Source organism: Homo sapiens, chromosome 20 (genome assembly GCF_000001405.40).
Source record: "Homo sapiens chromosome 20, GRCh38.p14 Primary Assembly".
NCBI classification, from domain to species: domain Eukaryota; kingdom Metazoa; phylum Chordata; class Mammalia; order Primates; family Hominidae; genus Homo; species Homo sapiens.
This window is the reverse complement of record NC_000020.11, coordinates 16,543,346-16,559,859: the sequence shown is the minus strand read 5'-3', so window position 1 is coordinate 16,559,859 and position 16,514 is coordinate 16,543,346. Positions and strand designations below refer to the sequence as shown.

Here is a 16,514-nt window from a genome sequence, read left to right as displayed (position 1 = left end):
CAATGTCTTTTATCTGGTCCAGGATCCAGTCCAAGATAACAAAATTCATTTTATTATCATGTAAAGCATTTTTTTTTTGAGACAAGGTCTTTTTTGCTCTGTCACCCAGGCTGGAGTATAGTGGCATGATCACAGCTCACTGTAGCCTCAGCCTGCTGGGCTCAAGTGAACCTCCTGCCTCAGCCTCCTGAGGAGCCGGGACTACAATCATGCACCACCACACCCAGCTATTAGTAATTTAAATTTTTTTTTTTGTAGAGATGGGGTCTCCTTATGTTGCCCAGGCTGGTCTTGAATCCTTGGGCTCAAGTGATCCTTCTGTGTTGGCCTTCCCAGCATGTGGGGATTACAGGCATAAACAGTCTTTGTTGTTGTTGTTGCTGTTTTGTTTTTGTTAAACCCAGCTGTGTGAAACATTCTTAGTTAAGACTTTTTTTGGTATTAGGGGCAACTTTGCCTATGCTGATAACCATATTTAGGGTAAGAGTAGACGGCATTTCCTCCAGAATACCTCTGTCCATTCAAAAGATTGAGGAATTATGCCTCCTGGCATCCTTTGATGGACTATGGATAGGCAATTTGGGCTGTTAACACCTTGATTGGATTAATTGTTTACTTTCACTTATCAAATGAGACGTGGGGCATTTTGATTCTTGGTGGGATGGAAAGGGTTGGAGTTTAGAGTGAGTTGGAGGAAGACAGGTCTCAGTGGTGTGGCAAGTATTGGTTTTAGGCAGAATTAGTTAAATATATAGTACAAGGGTTGCAAACTCAATGCCTATAGGGACCAGGCAGACCTGGAATAATTCCACATTAGAAACCGTGAGCAGAGAGGAGAAAATAAATAAAAATAAATATATTTTCATCTTCACAATCAGGGAGATAATAGGCTGTGGAGGGCACTTGCTAGCTTCCATAACAAATTTACCCCCACTTGGTTTTTTTTTTTTTTTTTTTTTTTTGAGTCTTGCTCTGTTGCCTAGGTTGGAGTGCAGTGACATGATCTGGGCTCACTGCAGCCTCTGCCTCTCAGGTTCAGGCGATTCTTGTGCTTCAGACTCCAGAGTAGCTGGGATTACAGGCGCCTACCACCGCACCCAGCTAAATTTTGTATTTTTAATGGAAACAGGGTTTTGCCATGTTGGCCAGGCTGGTCTGGAACTCCTGGCCTCAAGTGAATCCTCCCGCCTTGGCCTCCCAAAGTGTTGGGATTACAGGCGTGAGCCATCGCACCCACCCTACCCCCACATTTTCGTGGCTCTCACTAAAGATACCAAAGAAGTTTATCTTTTGCCATGTAAACAGATGATGATCTGCAGTTCCTGGTCAGCAGGTGGTTTTTCTTCTATATCCTGGAGCCTCTTTTATACCTCTGGGGCCTCACAGTCTTCTCTGCTTAGCCAGCGGAAGAGGGGAGAGGGTGGAGGAGGCACACCTTCTTCTTGGCTGCTTTGGTGTGGGAGAGACACATCAATAATGCTCACCCTTCATTGGTGAGAATAGTCACATGGCCACGCCGGATGCAGGGAAGGCTGGGAACCTGTTGTTACTGGCTAGGAGCCACGTTCCAGTAACAATTCTATACCCAACAGGGGAAGTTGTCTCTTTCTGCCACACTCTGTGTCTAGAGAGATGATGTTTCTCCATTCTGATCAGTGATGCCATTCAGGACCTCGGCACCTGCCACTCGTCTGCTGGAGGTGTTCTTTCTCCAGATGTCCGCATCTCCCACTCCTTCTCTCTTGAGTTTTTGTTCAAATGTCGCTTCTTCAATGTGGGCTTTCTCAGTTATTCCATTGAAAATAGTGCCCCCTATTGCTGGTGTTTCCTGTCCCCCCTCTATTTTTCCTCGTTTACAGCACTTATCAAAATTTGGCCTCTTAGGTATTTTCCTTACTTACTGGTTTATAGTCTGAGTCCCTCTGTGAGCACTGGGACCATTTCTGTCTTGTTCTTGGATTATGCTCCTTGTGCTTGGCGTGTACCAAGTGTTCAGGTGTTGAATGAAAAATGGGAACCCGTACTGTTAAAATCCCTAAATTTTCAAATATTGGCAAGGATTTTAGCGGAAACAAACAACCAAACAAGGAAACCATGCAGGCCAAACAGATACTCTCTCTGGGTATGATGCTGTCTGCTGGCTGCCAGCCTGGGCTTCGAGTGGAGGACCAGGTGCCAGGGGCTGAGGCTGGAAGACATGGGTTTGCATTCTGAGTCTGCCACTTGCTCATTTTGTGAGCTTGGATGTATTATTGTACTTCTCTGAGCCTCAGATTCTTCTTCTGAAACATGACTTTAATAGTCCTCCCTTCTTGCCCTCTTCCTCTGGTGTTACTGTGATGACTATATGGGGTAGATTATACATAAAAAATGCACAGTGGGCTAGGTGCAGTGACTCATGCCTGTAATCCCAGCACTTTGGGAGGCTGAGGCAGGTGGATCACTTGAGATTAGGAGTTTGAGACCAGCCTGGCCAACATGGTGAAACCCCATCTCTACTAAAATTACAAAAATTAGCCGGGCGTAGTAGCAGGCGCCTGTAATCTCAGCTAGTTGGAGACTGAGGCAGGAGAGTCGCATGAACCTGGGAGGCGGAGGTTGCAGTGAGCCGAGATTGCGCCACTGCACTCCAGCCTGGGTGACAGAGAGAGACTCCATCTCAAAAAACATATATATAGTATTAGTATGTGTGTGTGTGTGTATATATATATAGTATTAATATATATAGTATTAATGATTAATATTAATGATTAATATTAATACTATATATAGTATTAATGAGATATTTTACATTTTTCATGGTAAATACATCTTTAAAATCTGGCATGATTTTGTACTTACAGCACAGCTCAATTTGGATTAGTCACATATCAGGTGTTCAGTAGCCACATGTGGCTAGTAGCTGCCATATTGGACAGCACAGGTCTAGTGAGTGAACAAAAGATCATAAGGTAGTGGTAAGTGGGAACATTCTATAAAGAAAATAAAGCACAGTAAAGGGGTAGCTAACCACAGATAACAGTGGTCAGGGAAGGACTGGCTGTGTAGGTGATTGGTGAAGGAAGTAAGGTAATGAACCGTGGGAATATCTGGGAAGAATATTCTAGGCAGAAGTAACAGCCAGTGCAGAGGCTGTGTGTCAGGAGCATGCCTGGAACATGCAATGGGTGCAGGGAGGTCTGTGGGCCCAGAATAGGGAAGTGTGGCTCATATAGGGCCTATTAAGCCACCTAAAGTCTTAGGTTTTAAGTGTGGTAGGGCCATTGGAGGAGTGAGAACATGTGTTGGCCTGACATATGTTGTCAAAAGGTCACTTGTGCTGCTAATGGAGAACAGAATCCCAGGGGGCAAGAATAGACACACAGTGATTTGCGCAAGAGGCATGGATGTATACAGTCATGATTATTCACTCAGCAAGCATTTACTGACCACATATAGAGTGCAAAGCATCGTGTTTTGCATCGAGGCCACAGTGGGCATAGTCCTTGCTCTCTGGAGTCTCCGGGTAGCCAGTTAGTGACCAGTTGGTTCATGGCAGAGCGGTGTGAGAATGTGGAGAGCCATTCTGTTGAGGAGACAGGTGTGATACCACCTGGTTGTGCTGTTTCTTTGTTTTTGTTTTTGGTGAGGCTGATCACCAGCTAGAGTGTCATGTAAAGAAGTTGCACCCAAGTGACCTGTAAGTTTCTTCTAGTGCTGAGATGAACAGCCTTTATTCTGTTGGTACTGGACCACCTCTGAAGATGAGCTGGGGAGGTGGGGGCTGATGTTATCAGTGTCTAATGAGTGGCCCAGTGTTGGAAGGGGGAGGATGGTAAAGGAGGGAATTTAGGAATACTCCAAGGCAAGCTTTTCCCCAAGGGAACCTTGTTTCCAGGGTAACATAGCCTATGTTTTCTACCAACAAATAGTTTTCAGATTTTCTGCCCTTTCTAATGACTAATAAATGAATTAATGAGTCAGTAGAAATAATCCATTCCTCCTTCTCTAGAGCCTAAGTGCTCATGAAACTGATTTGATTGTCTTTGATTTGATCTTGGCTTGAATTCCTTTCTGTTTTGATTTTGAAGAATGAGAAAATTTTGTGGTTGTTTTTGTTTTTGCCATCTTCCCCCTTTTCCCTTTTCCCTTCTCTGACTTTTGAGAGGTAGCTATCACTAATCAGTACTGAATAAAGGTGATGTATTTTTCTATACCATCTTCTTAAGCCCTTGAAGCATATTTGTATTTATTGATTTGCTTTGTTTTTATTTGTTTATTCATCTGGTCAGCAGACATTAAGTGCTTTCTGCATGTGAGAAACTGCTTTTTCCTTTTATGAGCTTTTCCTTGGAGGATGGCCTTTGGTCTATGGCTTGATTAAGTCAGTAAGGTTTCTTTGGGGATGTCATTAGCCTCATAATCCCGAACTTTTGCATCATGCCCAGTACAGTGCAGAGTGTGGCAGAGGCATGCATGTGGAAGGGTAGGTTCTCAGGTTACATCTTGCCATTGCCACTAACCACCTGCATTGTTTTATACGTGGCACTCTGTCTTCTGATTTCGTCTCATATCCTCTTCTGTACAGTGAGGAGGATCATATGTTCCTTATTCATAGGGTTATTTTGAGGACTTAAGGAATTAATGGCTGTGAAGTGCTTGCACAGAGTAAGCACAATGAATGCAACATTACAATTTTGTCTTGTACCTAGGGTTTTACATGAATATTGTGGTGATGTTGGTATGGGATCCTTGGGGTGTCATTTTGCCAGCTGGAAACCTTTGTGGCCAGTGGCACCTTTGCCCAAGTTTTGCTCAGGCTCATTCTGTCCACTCAGCCTGGCAGGCTGTGCTCAGCTTGTGCTACCAGCCTGGATCCCATGCCTGCCAAGGGCAAGCCAGGCATGGAGCGGCAAAGGGTGTGTGAGCGAGTGTGGGGTCCAGCTACTGCTCACAGCCAGGCGTGCTGACTGCAGTGGGGTGGGCAACTCCAGGTGCTGGCATGGGCGCCAGCTCCCTGCAAGGCTGCAGCTGGACCAGATGTACTGCAAACAGCTTCCGTGGCTGGCACTGGGGAATGTGGTAGCACCTGGAAGTTCGGAGACACCAGAAACCACAGAGCCCCAAAGAGGGTGTGACAGCCCTGGCTCAGGGAGCTCCTAGGCCTGGGCTCCCTAGAGGGCCACAGCTCTTCTCTCCCCTCTTCTCTCCTTTTTGTTGCCTGCAACGTGGTGAGCAAGGGACATGTTTTGGCCCTGTTCATGCTACAGCTGTTTTAGCCCCACCATTTGATGGGTCCCAAGTTCCTGTCCTGTGTCCAGAAAGAATAAGGTACATGGGAAAGTGGAGGGTGAGCAAGGCAAAGAGGAGCTTTATTGAGCGACAGACAGCTCAAAGGAGACCCGCACTGGGTAGCAGGCAGGGTGTCCCGATGAGCGTTCAGCGCTCAGCAGAGAGGAGACCCTGGAGTGGGTAGCTCCACTCTGCAGGCAGGTCATCTGTTGAATGTTCAGCTCTCAGCAGAGAGGAGACCCTGGAGTGGGTAAATCCTCTCGGCAGCTGGCAGGTCATTGTCTTTTCGAGTCTGGCTGAATCCTGGGCTTTTATGGGCCTCATAGGGGAGGAAATATGTGCAGATTGGTCCATAGGTGGCTATGGGTGGGCCCGGCAAAAAACCACAAGTTCCCACTCCACTCTGCAGGATTGGCAGCCTGGTCCGCAGGCTTCATGTCCTCCTCAGTTTGAAGCTGGGGCTTCACCCAGGACCCACCTCCTTCTTTCTACCCAGGAGCCTGCCTGTCTCCTGCTGCTGTTCATGGTGCCCAGGCTGTTCATGCCAAGGGGTGCCTGCAGGCCGGCGCTGAGCTGCCCTCAGCCCCACCTCAGCCTCCCTCCCATGCTCATCAGTGCTAAAAGTCTGGAGGGGGCTGAAGTGGCTGTGGACTGGCATGTCAGTGCTTCCCTAAGTGTGCGCACACCTGGCTGGGCTGCGACAGTGCAGGACTCCTTCCTGCTTTGGGCTCCTGTCTGCTCCTGTCTGCTCCTGTCTGCTCCTGGCTCCTGCTGGCTCTGTGGAGCATGCAGCCCAGCTGCACCTCCCCCGCTGTAGCCAGCGTCTTGGTAGCGGTTGCTGCAGGTGGACCACTGTTGCTATGAATGTGGAGAAGAATCTTACATAACTAAATAATGAATAGACAAAGTCTACTAGTCACTGAGTTCTAAGTTCTGCTGTGTAGATAGTAAAGTACAGTAGGTGTCTGGAGAAAGGAACATCAATGTGAGCTTATGTTTACAAGCAAGGTGTTTTGGGGGAAGTTGAGCTATTGAGGTCCAAATAGGCTTAGCTGGTGAACAGTAGATACTCTCTTAGGCTCAATGTCTGTCTCTCCATTGGGCTCAATAAAAGCCACAGAGCTTTTCTTGGCTAGAGATGAGTAAGGGTACGATCCCCACCCTCAAGTAGCTCATGATCTTGTGGGAACAACAGAAACAAAGAAAGCCTCACAAGTTCTCTAGTTAATAATGTTGCATTCAAGGCGTGACAGCGTGGGGGTCAGGAGGCATTGAGTAGAGCTCCTTGGGAGGGCTGGAGAAACACCCTAGAGGACATCAGCACTGAGGGCAGGGCTCCCTGGCAGGATGAGTCAGCCAACAGACAAGGCTGGCAGTAGCATTTTAAGCAGAAAGCGTACAGAGACCCCAGGCTCTGGAGTATGACTGTGAGCTACAAAGTCTCACGAAATGGCTGAAACTTCAGATGGGTGGTGAGAGTGGAGACTGGAGAGGTGGGAGGCCACATTAGAAATTAAAATAGAGGCCGGGTACGGTGGCTCATGCCTGTAATCCCAGCACTTTGGGAGGCCGAGGTGGGTGGATCACTTGAGGTCAGGAGTTCGAGACCAGCCTGACCAACACGATGAAACCCTGTCTCTACTGAAAATACAAAAATTAGCTGGGTGTAGTGGCAGGCACCTGTAATCCCAGCTACTCAGGAGGCTGAGGCAGGAGAATTGCTTGAACCCAGAAGGTTGCAGGGAGCCAAGATCACACCACTGCACTCTGTCTTAAAAAAAAATAATAAATTAAAATAGAAAGTTAAAACATAGGAATATATAAGCACATATTTCCTTAGCTATCAGAAATGTGAGTGTGAAAAAGACAAATAATATGCTGGTGTCATAATGAAAATAATTTTAACCTTGCAGAGCCCCCCAAGACCTTTAAAAACCTCTGGGCTGCGTGTCAGGATACAGTGGTCTCCAAGCTAGGCACAGTTCTTGCCTTTGTTGTACTGGATGCTGTGGTGCTGTGGAAGCCCATGGTGGGGGGTTGGGTCTAACAGACTTGTGGCATCAGGAAGGGTACTTGGAGAGACAGACCTGAAGTGGAGACTAGCCTGGGACAACAGGTGTAGTGGTGGATGGAGCAGCATGTGGGAGGCCCAGAGGCCTCACCTGAAAACCTCAACGAAGCTCATAATGGCTGCGTGTTAATATTGCATATGCTGGGATGATACCAGCAGTTTGAGTTCTCTGGCTTCAGCGTGATATGATTTTATCCACTTGTTTATTTTCAGAGGCACATGTAGCTGTTCTCAATTCCCTTCTCTGTATGACTTATAGGAAGCTAAAGGCTTCCTTGTGTTAGGGAGCTTCCTATTTCAAGTGCTGAGCTGGGTTTGTCAAGCTTTGAAAATGCAGACAGAGCCATGAAACCTAAGGGGGACTCAGAGGAAGTGTCCATGTGCAGGAGAGACAAGGCTGAATTAAAAGGCATGATTAATCACAAAAGAGTGGAAGAGTGATGCTTGAGAGTTGAGGACGTGAGTAAAACAGAAGTAGAACTGCTCATTTGATGTCATCACGTTATCTCAAGATGAGCCCTCTTGGCCTCAGACAGTGGGTAGCATTACATTATATGTTAGCTCCGCGCCCCCACGCCCACCCTCCTTCTTTGAAATGATGTCTAAATTAGAGGTGTAACTGTCCCACCAGGTGCAACTTGAGCCTTCCTTTGCCCTCCTGTAGCTGTCGTGGGAGGGGGGCCTGCTTTCTTGGGCACAGACTGTTTGGTCAGCTGAGCCACAGAAATGAGGCCAGGCCTGTGTTGCTCTCTGTCTATGCTTGATTGCAAGGAACACTGATGATATCAGAGGGCTTTCTTACCTCAAGCCCTTCTGGCTTAAGGACAAGGTTATTTCTTTCATTTCTGTCTGCAAACTGTGGTAGTGTATTCGATTTCAAGGATTCTGGGATGAATTCTTCAATGATAAGAACCTGCTATTATTGTCCCTGCTTTACAGCTCCAGGGATTGGCAGCCTCATTCTTCAAAAGTTGCACACCTTTAGGGCCTTGGGAGGTACAGGCACCAGCAAGGAGTCAGAAGGAATGAAAGCTGGAGAGATGCGGCCCACACTGGAAAGACAGGAGGAAAGGAGAGAGAAAGCGCCTCGGCCAGGCACAGTGGCTCATGCCTGTAATCCCAGCACTTTGGGAGGCTGAGGCGGGAGATCACCTGAGGTCAGGAGACTGAGACCAGCTTGACCAACATGGTGAAACCCCATCTCTACTAAAAATACAAAACTAGCCGGGCATGGTGGCGAGTGCCTGTAATCTCCGCTACTTAGGAGGCTGAGGCAGGAGAATTGCTTGAACCAGGAGGCGGAGGTTGCAGTGAGCTGAGATCGTGCCATTGCACTCCAGCCTAGGCAACAAGAGCAAAACTGCATCTCAAAAAAAAAAAAAAAAGAAGAGAAAGCCCCTCACTGGTGGTTTCTTCACTAAATCCTAAATAAGAAATTAGAAAACCTGGACAGTCAAACCTAATGTGCTCCTAGCTGGGTTAAATCATGTTTTGTTCAAAGTAAGCTTGATTATTTTCATCACATCAGCCAGCATTTTCATTCCTGTGTTTTGAGAGAAGTGGGAAATCCAGGCTCTCATGTAAAATATTATTTTAAATATGTTGGCAACTAATTAAAAATGTTTTAGAACACCCGTTCTAGCCCTGGGATGCTATTTTAAAACTTCTAGTTTAGAATGCATGTTTCGGCCAGGCGTGGTGGCTCATGCCTGTAATCCCAGGACTTTGGGAGGTCATGGTGGATCACTTGAACCCAGGAGTTTGAGTCCAGCCTGAGCAATGTGGTGAAAACCCGTCTCTACAAAAAATAGAAAAAATTAGCTGGACATGGTGGCATGTACCTGTAGTCTTAGCTACTTGGGAGGCTGAGGTGGGAGGATCATCTGAGCTTAGGGAGGTTGAGGCTACAGTGAGCTCTGATCGCACCACTGCACTCCAGCCTGGGTGACTGAGTGAACCCTGTGTCAAAAAAAAAAAAAAAAAAAAAAAGAATGTTTCATGTGTTTTAACAAGCTCTCTAGGGGGAAAAAAAACGAAAATGATATTTCTAGTTCTAGATCTAGATCCCTGAGGAATCGCCACACTGACTTCCACAATGGTTGAACTAGTTTACAGTCCCACCAACAGTGTAATAGTGTTCCTATTTCTCCACATCCTCTCCAGCACCTGTTGTTTCCTGACTTTTTAATGACTGCCATTCTAACTGGTGTGAGATGGTATCTCATAGTGGTTTTGATTTGCATTTCTCTGATGGCCAGTGATGATGAGCATTTTTTCATGTGTTTTTTGGCTGCATAAATGTCTTCTTTTGAGAAGTGTCTGTTCATGTCCTTCGCCCACTTTTTGATGGGGTTGTTTGTTTTTTTCTTGTAAATTTGTTTGAGTTCATTGTAGATTCTGGATATTAGCCCTTTGTCAGATGAGTAGGTTGCGAAAATTTTCTCCCATTTTGTAGGTTGCCTGTTTACTCTGATGGTAGTTTCTTTTGCTGTGCAGAAGCTCTTTAGTTTAATTAGATCCCATTTGTCAATTTTGTCTTTTGTTGCCATTGCTTTTGGTGTTTTGGACATGAAGTCCTTGCCCATGCCTATGTCCTGAATGGTAATGCCTAGGTTTTCTTCTAGGGTTTTTATGGTTTTAGGTCTAACGTTTAAATCTTTAATCCATCTTGAATTGATTTTTGTATAAGGTGTAAGGAAGGGATCCAGTTTCAGCTTCCTACATATGGCTAGCCAGTTTTCCCAGCACCATTTATTAAATAGGGAATCCTTTCCCCATTGCTTGTTTTTCTCAGGTTTGTCAAAGATCAGATAGTTGTAGGTATGCGGCGTTATTTCTGAGGGCTCTGTTCTGTTCCATTGATCTATATCTCTGTTTTGGTACCAGTACCATGCTGTTTTGGTTACTGTAGCCTTGTAGTATAGTTTGAAGTCATACCATTTGACCCAGCCATCCCATTACTGGGTATATACCCAAAGGACTATAAATCATGCTGCTATAAAGACACATGCACACGTATGTTTATTGCGGCATTATTCACAATAGCAAAGACTTGGAACCAACCCAAATGTCCAACAATGATAGACTGGATTAAGAAAATGTGGCACATATACACCATGGGATACTATGCAGCCATAAAAAATGATGAGTTCATGTCCTTTGTAGGGACATGGATGAAATTGGAAATCATCATTCTCAGTAAACTATCGCAAGATCGAAAAACCAAACACCGCATATTCTCACTCATAGGTGGGAATTGAACAATGAGATCACATGGACACAGGAGGGGGAATATCACACTCTGGGGACTGTGGTGGGGTAGGGGGAGGGGGGAGGGATGGCATTGGGAGATATACCTAATGCTAGATGACGAGTTAGTGGGTGCAGTGCACCAGCATGGCACATGTATACATATGTAACTAACCTGCACAATGTGCACATGTACCCTAAAACTTAAAGTATAATTAAAAAAAAAACTAACGAAAAAAAAACATAAAAAAAAAAAACCGAAAATGAGTATTTTAAAATTCTTTTCCTTTATTTACTTTATTTAAAACTCCTTATTTACTTTAGACCATTTCCCTTTGCTGCTTTTCTACAGCATTAGTGTTTTCAGTATTTTGGGGAGGCATCTTCCAGTGGTCTTCGTCTCGTTGTGCCACAAGCAGCCTTGCATCTCACTTACTGCATAAACAAGCTGGTCCTGTTCTGGTCACTAAGATCAGGAAAGTGGGTCTGTCTCCTGGGGTATGGAAATAGCCAGGAATCTGGATCTTCTACAGCAGTGGTCCTGAGACTTCTTGGCACCAGGGACCGGTTTTGTGAAGACAGTTTTTCCATGGACAGGGCACAGTGGTGAGGATGGTTTTGCAATGTGCCCACTCTCAGGCTGTCAGGAGTTAGGCATTAGGCATTAGTTAGATTCTAATAAGGAGGTTGCAACCTAGATCCCTTGCACGCGCCATTTACGATAGGGTTTGCTCTCCTATGAGAATGTAATGCTGCTGATATGACAGGAGGCGGAGCTCAGGCAGTAATGCTCGCTTGCCTGCCGCTGACCTCCTCCTGTGTGGCCCGGTTCCTTACTGCCCATAGACCAGTACTGCTTCATGACCTGGGGCTTTGGGATGCCTGTTCTACAAGATACAGCTCTGAAAGGAGCTTCTGCAGCCTGGGCTGGTAGTGCTGAATGGTGACGTGTGTCTGTGTCAGCTTTATCGTTCTATGTGCACTCTGAATCCATCCTCCGAACCTTGTAGCTCCCTCTGACGTGGTAGAGCAGGCAAGACTCATCCTCATTTTATGGATGAGTAGACAGAGGCTGAGCGGTTGTCAAAGCCTTGGTCAGTTCTTTAATAGAAGACCTGAAACTGGCTGTTGGGATCAGATCTGTGTCATAGTTTGTTTTCTCCTTTAGGCTTTGGTAGTGACATCTCATTATGGGATAAGCCACTAATTGTGCCTCTGAAACATTTAATGGGGGAGCTAGAGAAACAAGAATTAGGACGCTGATTCTCACCCTTCTCAGCTGACACTCGCTTCCCTCTGCCAGAGAGTCAGATTTAATTGGTTTGGGGTGCAGCCTGGGCATCAGGGTTTTTAAAGCCCCAGGAGATTCCTGTGAGCAGCAGAGCTGGAGAACTCCAGGGTTGGGGGTCCCTGCTGGGATTTGGTTTACCGGACATGCACCAGATGCAGCATGCCGTGGACCATGGTCAGCGTGCTTGCCTTCAGTTGATGCCCTGATGTTTCCTGGATGACAGCAAAATGAAAATAATGCATGTGTTTAGAGTGTTGCTATTTCTTCCTGTTTTGTTTCTTTGTGTTGCGTGAGTTGCAGCGCTCCTCAGAAAGTGCAGGTGGGGAATAGCATTCTCTGTGTCTGAGCAGCATGCTCAGAGTGAGACCAGAGGCAGGTGGGGAGCAGTTCTTTATCAAGCTGAGGTCGTGGAGGCACTGGAGAAGGTGATATGACACAGTTTCAAAGAATATTCTGGAAAGGAACTTTCTGGTGACATACTCCTTTTCCCCCAGAATAAAAAATGTGATTGCGCTTCTTTTTTGGACTAACTTTGTTTCACTTACCAAAGTCAGGTCTCTCCTTGGTGTGGGCACCCATGCCTGATTGACAGCACTAGCCATTTGCTGTCACCCATGTGGGGTGATTGTGGGCCATCTAAGGGCATGAGCCATGATATTAATGTTTCTGTATCCCTCACAGCCTTGTAAAGGGGAGGCATGTGTTTGTCCTGCCTCTGGCCATGGTGGCTCTGTCATTTATCGTGAGTGGGCATGGCCAGCTTGCCTTAGGAGAGGTGATGGATGCGGACGCTGAGCATGGGACAGGAAGGACACAGCATGCTTATGTGTCTTTAGGTGGGACAGTCTGTATGTCGTCAGAATAACTGGACATAATTCACAAGAATTTAAAAATAAGTGAAAGCTGGGTGCGGTGGCTCACACCTGTAATCCCAGGACTTTGGGAGACCGAGGCCGGCAGATCCCCTGAGGTCAGGAGTTCGAGACCAGCCTGGGCAAAATGGCAAAACCCTGTCTCTACTAAAAATACAAAAATTAGCCAGGCCTGGTGGTGGGCATCTGTAATCCCAGCTACTCAGGAGGCTGAGTCAGGAGAATCGCTTGAACCTGGCAGGCAGAAGTTGCAGTGAGTCAAGATTGCACCACTGCACTCCAGCCTGGGCAACAGAGTGAGACTCCATCTGAAGTAAATAAATAAATAAATAATTAAATAAAAATAAGTGAAAGAATTTTTGTGTTTCTGTTAGCCTTATCTTTATGAATTGTGCCTCTGCATTGAGTTGATGTAGATAAAGCATTTCATGAACAAAGCTTTTGAAGATTTTTACAAAGTCAGCTGTGTGGTGCTTCTGTATTTTCATGATATCTGGGCAGAAGACTTGGCAACATTTATTTTCTAGATTCCACTTGCACCTATTTTGGGAAAGGGTCAGAAAGGTTATGTTAAAGTGAATCTCCACACCAGAATGTAAGCTCCCAGAGATCATTTTGTTGGTTTTGTCCACTGGTTTATCTCCAGGTGCTGCAAATAGTAGCTGGCACATAGTAGAGACACGGTAAACATTAACTGAATAAATGGAGGGATCTTGATTTCATGATGAAGATGAACACATAGATTGAGTATCGACTCCATAGCTGGCCTTATATTGTCTGTTTTCTTCTATCACATCTTTCAGCAAAAAATTGTACATCAGTGCAGCTCAATAACCACAGTGTTGCTGTGTAATTAGTACACCATGGCTTAGCAAAGTTATGTAATGTACCCAAAGTCGCAAAGCTACTAAGACTCAGGATTTCAATCCAGGTCCCCCAAACCTAGTGCCCCCTCTCCCAATTATTAAACCACTGTGCTTGGCAATATACATGTTAGGCACTATGCTTGGTGAAAAAGTGACAAGAAACCAAAATTCCATCTTGTTCCACTATGATTTGAAGTCTTTTTGAAGAAAAAGTCTTGCAATTTAGTTTGAATTATACCAGTATCCCTTCCCTAGCTGGTATATGGCATTTAGCTGGTGGTGTTACAAAAGGAATCAACTCCATTTTATAGGCCAAAATTGTATTTTTTTTTTTTGTAAGCTGCCACTGAGAACATTTTTCTAGAATAGAGATAAAACTGGGAAGAGGGTTATAGTGATGTGGATGAAGAGCAGAGAAAACACACTTCTTTGTGTTTCATAGTGCTGCAGCACTAAACTAGGATGTCTTTGGGCATTGAATAGTCGATTTAATGTCTGAATCCAGGAAAACAAAAATAAGTATGAATGTTCTTATGTTCTGCAATACCTCTTTTACATTTCCACGTTTTTCTTTTGAGACAGAGTCTCACTCTGTCACCCAGGCTGGAGTGCAGTGGTGCGATCTCGGCTCACTACAACCTCTGCCTCCCGGGTTTAAGCAATTCTCCTGCCTCAGCCTCCTGAGTAGTTGAGATTATAGGCGCTTGCCACCACACCTGGCTAATTTTTGTATTTTCAGTAGAGTTGGGGTTTCACTATGTTGGCCAGGCTGGTCTCAAGCTCCTGACCTCAAGTGATCCACCCACCTCAGCCTCCCAAAGTGCTGGGATTACAGGCGGGAGCCACCTCTCCTGGCCTTTTTTTTTTTTTAAATAGAGATGAGGTGTCGCCATGTTGGCCAGGCTGGTCTTAAACTCCTGGACTCAAGTGATCTGCCTGTCTCAGCTTCCCAAAGTACTGGGATTACAGGTGTGTGCCACTGCACCCGGCCTAAATTTCCATTTTTAAAAATGAGTATGTTGTTTGTGTCTTTTGAGGAAGCATATCAAAGAAGTTTGGCCACGTGCACAGCCGTATCTTTTTTCCATGACTCAAAAGAAGATACTCAGAAGGAGATGGAAGGCCCCCAACGCTTTGCTCCTGGAGTCAGAGTCAGCAGCTGTGACTGCAGGGAGAAACAAGCTTCATTTCTGTCTTTGGAGTTAACATTTGCCAAGTTAATTGATATTTTTGGGGAAAATCTATCTGCATTTAAAAATTAAAAGTTTAAGCTTTGAAGTATGAGTTTAACTTTAGTGCTCGAGTTTAAGAATAGTATCTTGTTTTAGCTGTTTCATTTGATCTTTCATGTGCTTATACATTCATTCATTCATTCATTCATTCATCAAGTGTTTGCTGTATATGAGGACAGTGCTAGGTGTTGTGAAATATATGAAGAGCAGGACATCATCTTTGGCCTCAGGAAGCATGTACACTGGTGGGGAAGACAAATGTATAGTAGCCCATCAGTAAGCAGGTCAAATGTGGTAACTGCTGTGGTGTGTTATGGAATGTCACCCAGAAGATACTGGCTAGGAGAGGTCTGAGAAGGCTTCCTGGAAGAGGAAGTTTTTTTTTTTTTTTTTTTTTTTTGAGATGGCTTTTCACTCTTGTCACCCAGGCTGGAGTGCAATGGTGTGATCTTGGCTCACTGCAACCTCTGCCTTCCAGGTTCAAGCGACTCTCCTGTCTCAGCCTCCCAAGGAGCTGGGATTATAGACACCTGCCACACCTGGCTAATTTTTGTATTTTTAGTAGAGACGGGGTTTCACCGTGGTGGCCAGGCTGGTCTCGAATTCTTGACCTCCAATCATTCACCTGCCTTGGCCTCCCAAAGTGCTGGGATTACAGGCGTGAGCCACAGTGCCCGGCTGAGGAAGCATTTTTATGGGCTTTGAAGGATAAGTCACTTGGATTAGATAGGTACATTCCAGGCAGAAGGACCAGCATGAGCAAGGCCCAGGACTCACAGAGGCGGGTCTTTGTGAGACCTGCAAGAAGGAACAGTTTGGAATGGGACAGGGGAGCCTGGGTGCCTCTGGGTCGTGTGGTGGGAAATGAGGCTAAGTGCGCGTCTCGATTCTCCTGTCCAGTGCCTGATGCATTTGATGACTTCCACCCTGTTTGGAGAGCAATCGTGTGGATTCTCTAAATATACTGGCTGGCTCATTGTGTTCCCCTGGGATCCCAAGCTTACATACCCTCTCCAGGAAGATGTAGCTGAAATCAGATTAGGAGTGCCAGCTTTGCTCTCAGCAGTTCTTTGTGGCTTTGAAGTATTGATCGCTTACTGAGTTCCTGAGTTCCTTTTACAATGCTGACTCTGTAGTGGGAGCTTTGAGTAAGTCACTTAACCTTTCTGGACCTGCATTTCTTTACATGTGAGGTGATGTCATGGGCTAAGTCTCCTTCTTCCAAGTCCATCTCTTGTCAAGTGCTGCATTCCTTGAGCCTCAGCTTGACTCTCAGGCCGCTTACCATCTTGCTTGACCCTAAATCTCCTTTCTGCGGAGTATCCAAAATTCCCCATGAAAGTGTCATTATTATCTTTGGTCTTGAGCAAAATTTAGTCCTTTATGGTTTGGGACATGAATTTTGTAATGTATGAAATTTTTCAGTTGTCCACCAGATTTTCTCAACTAGAACCAGGGTTCCAAGATAGAATTAAGTCCTAATACCTTGAGTAAGGCATCTGTTATGTGTAATGAGTTGACTTCTGTCCTATGCTTCTGGAATAATTCTAGTTATATACTTTCTTTAGGAAAAGTGGGAAAATAGTCACTCAAATAACTTTGGTGTTCTAGGACTCAGAAGAGGAGCACCTCGGTTGGAAGTCAGTGGTGATAACCCTAAAG

The 16,514-nt window shown here is 45.5% G+C and overlaps 1 protein-coding gene across 17 annotated transcripts in view, besides 1 other annotated feature; it reads left to right on the top strand.

Moving 5' to 3' along the window:
- The window catches only part of KIF16B (kinesin family member 16B), a 301,345-nt gene that overhangs the window by 13,589 nt on the left and 271,242 nt on the right, over positions 1-16,514 (top strand). The gene's annotated exons all lie outside the window — the stretch shown is intronic.
- Positions 11,884-12,053: an enhancer, noted in NCBI's record as "experimental_59877 CRE fragment used in MPRA reporter constructs". NCBI's record gives its function as "activates a minimal promoter by MPRAs in K562 erythroleukemia cells, with activity observed for the non-introgressed 20:16528537 variant allele {active_cell/tissue: K562}" and the evidence as "EXISTENCE:reporter gene assay evidence [ECO:0000049][PMID:34662402]".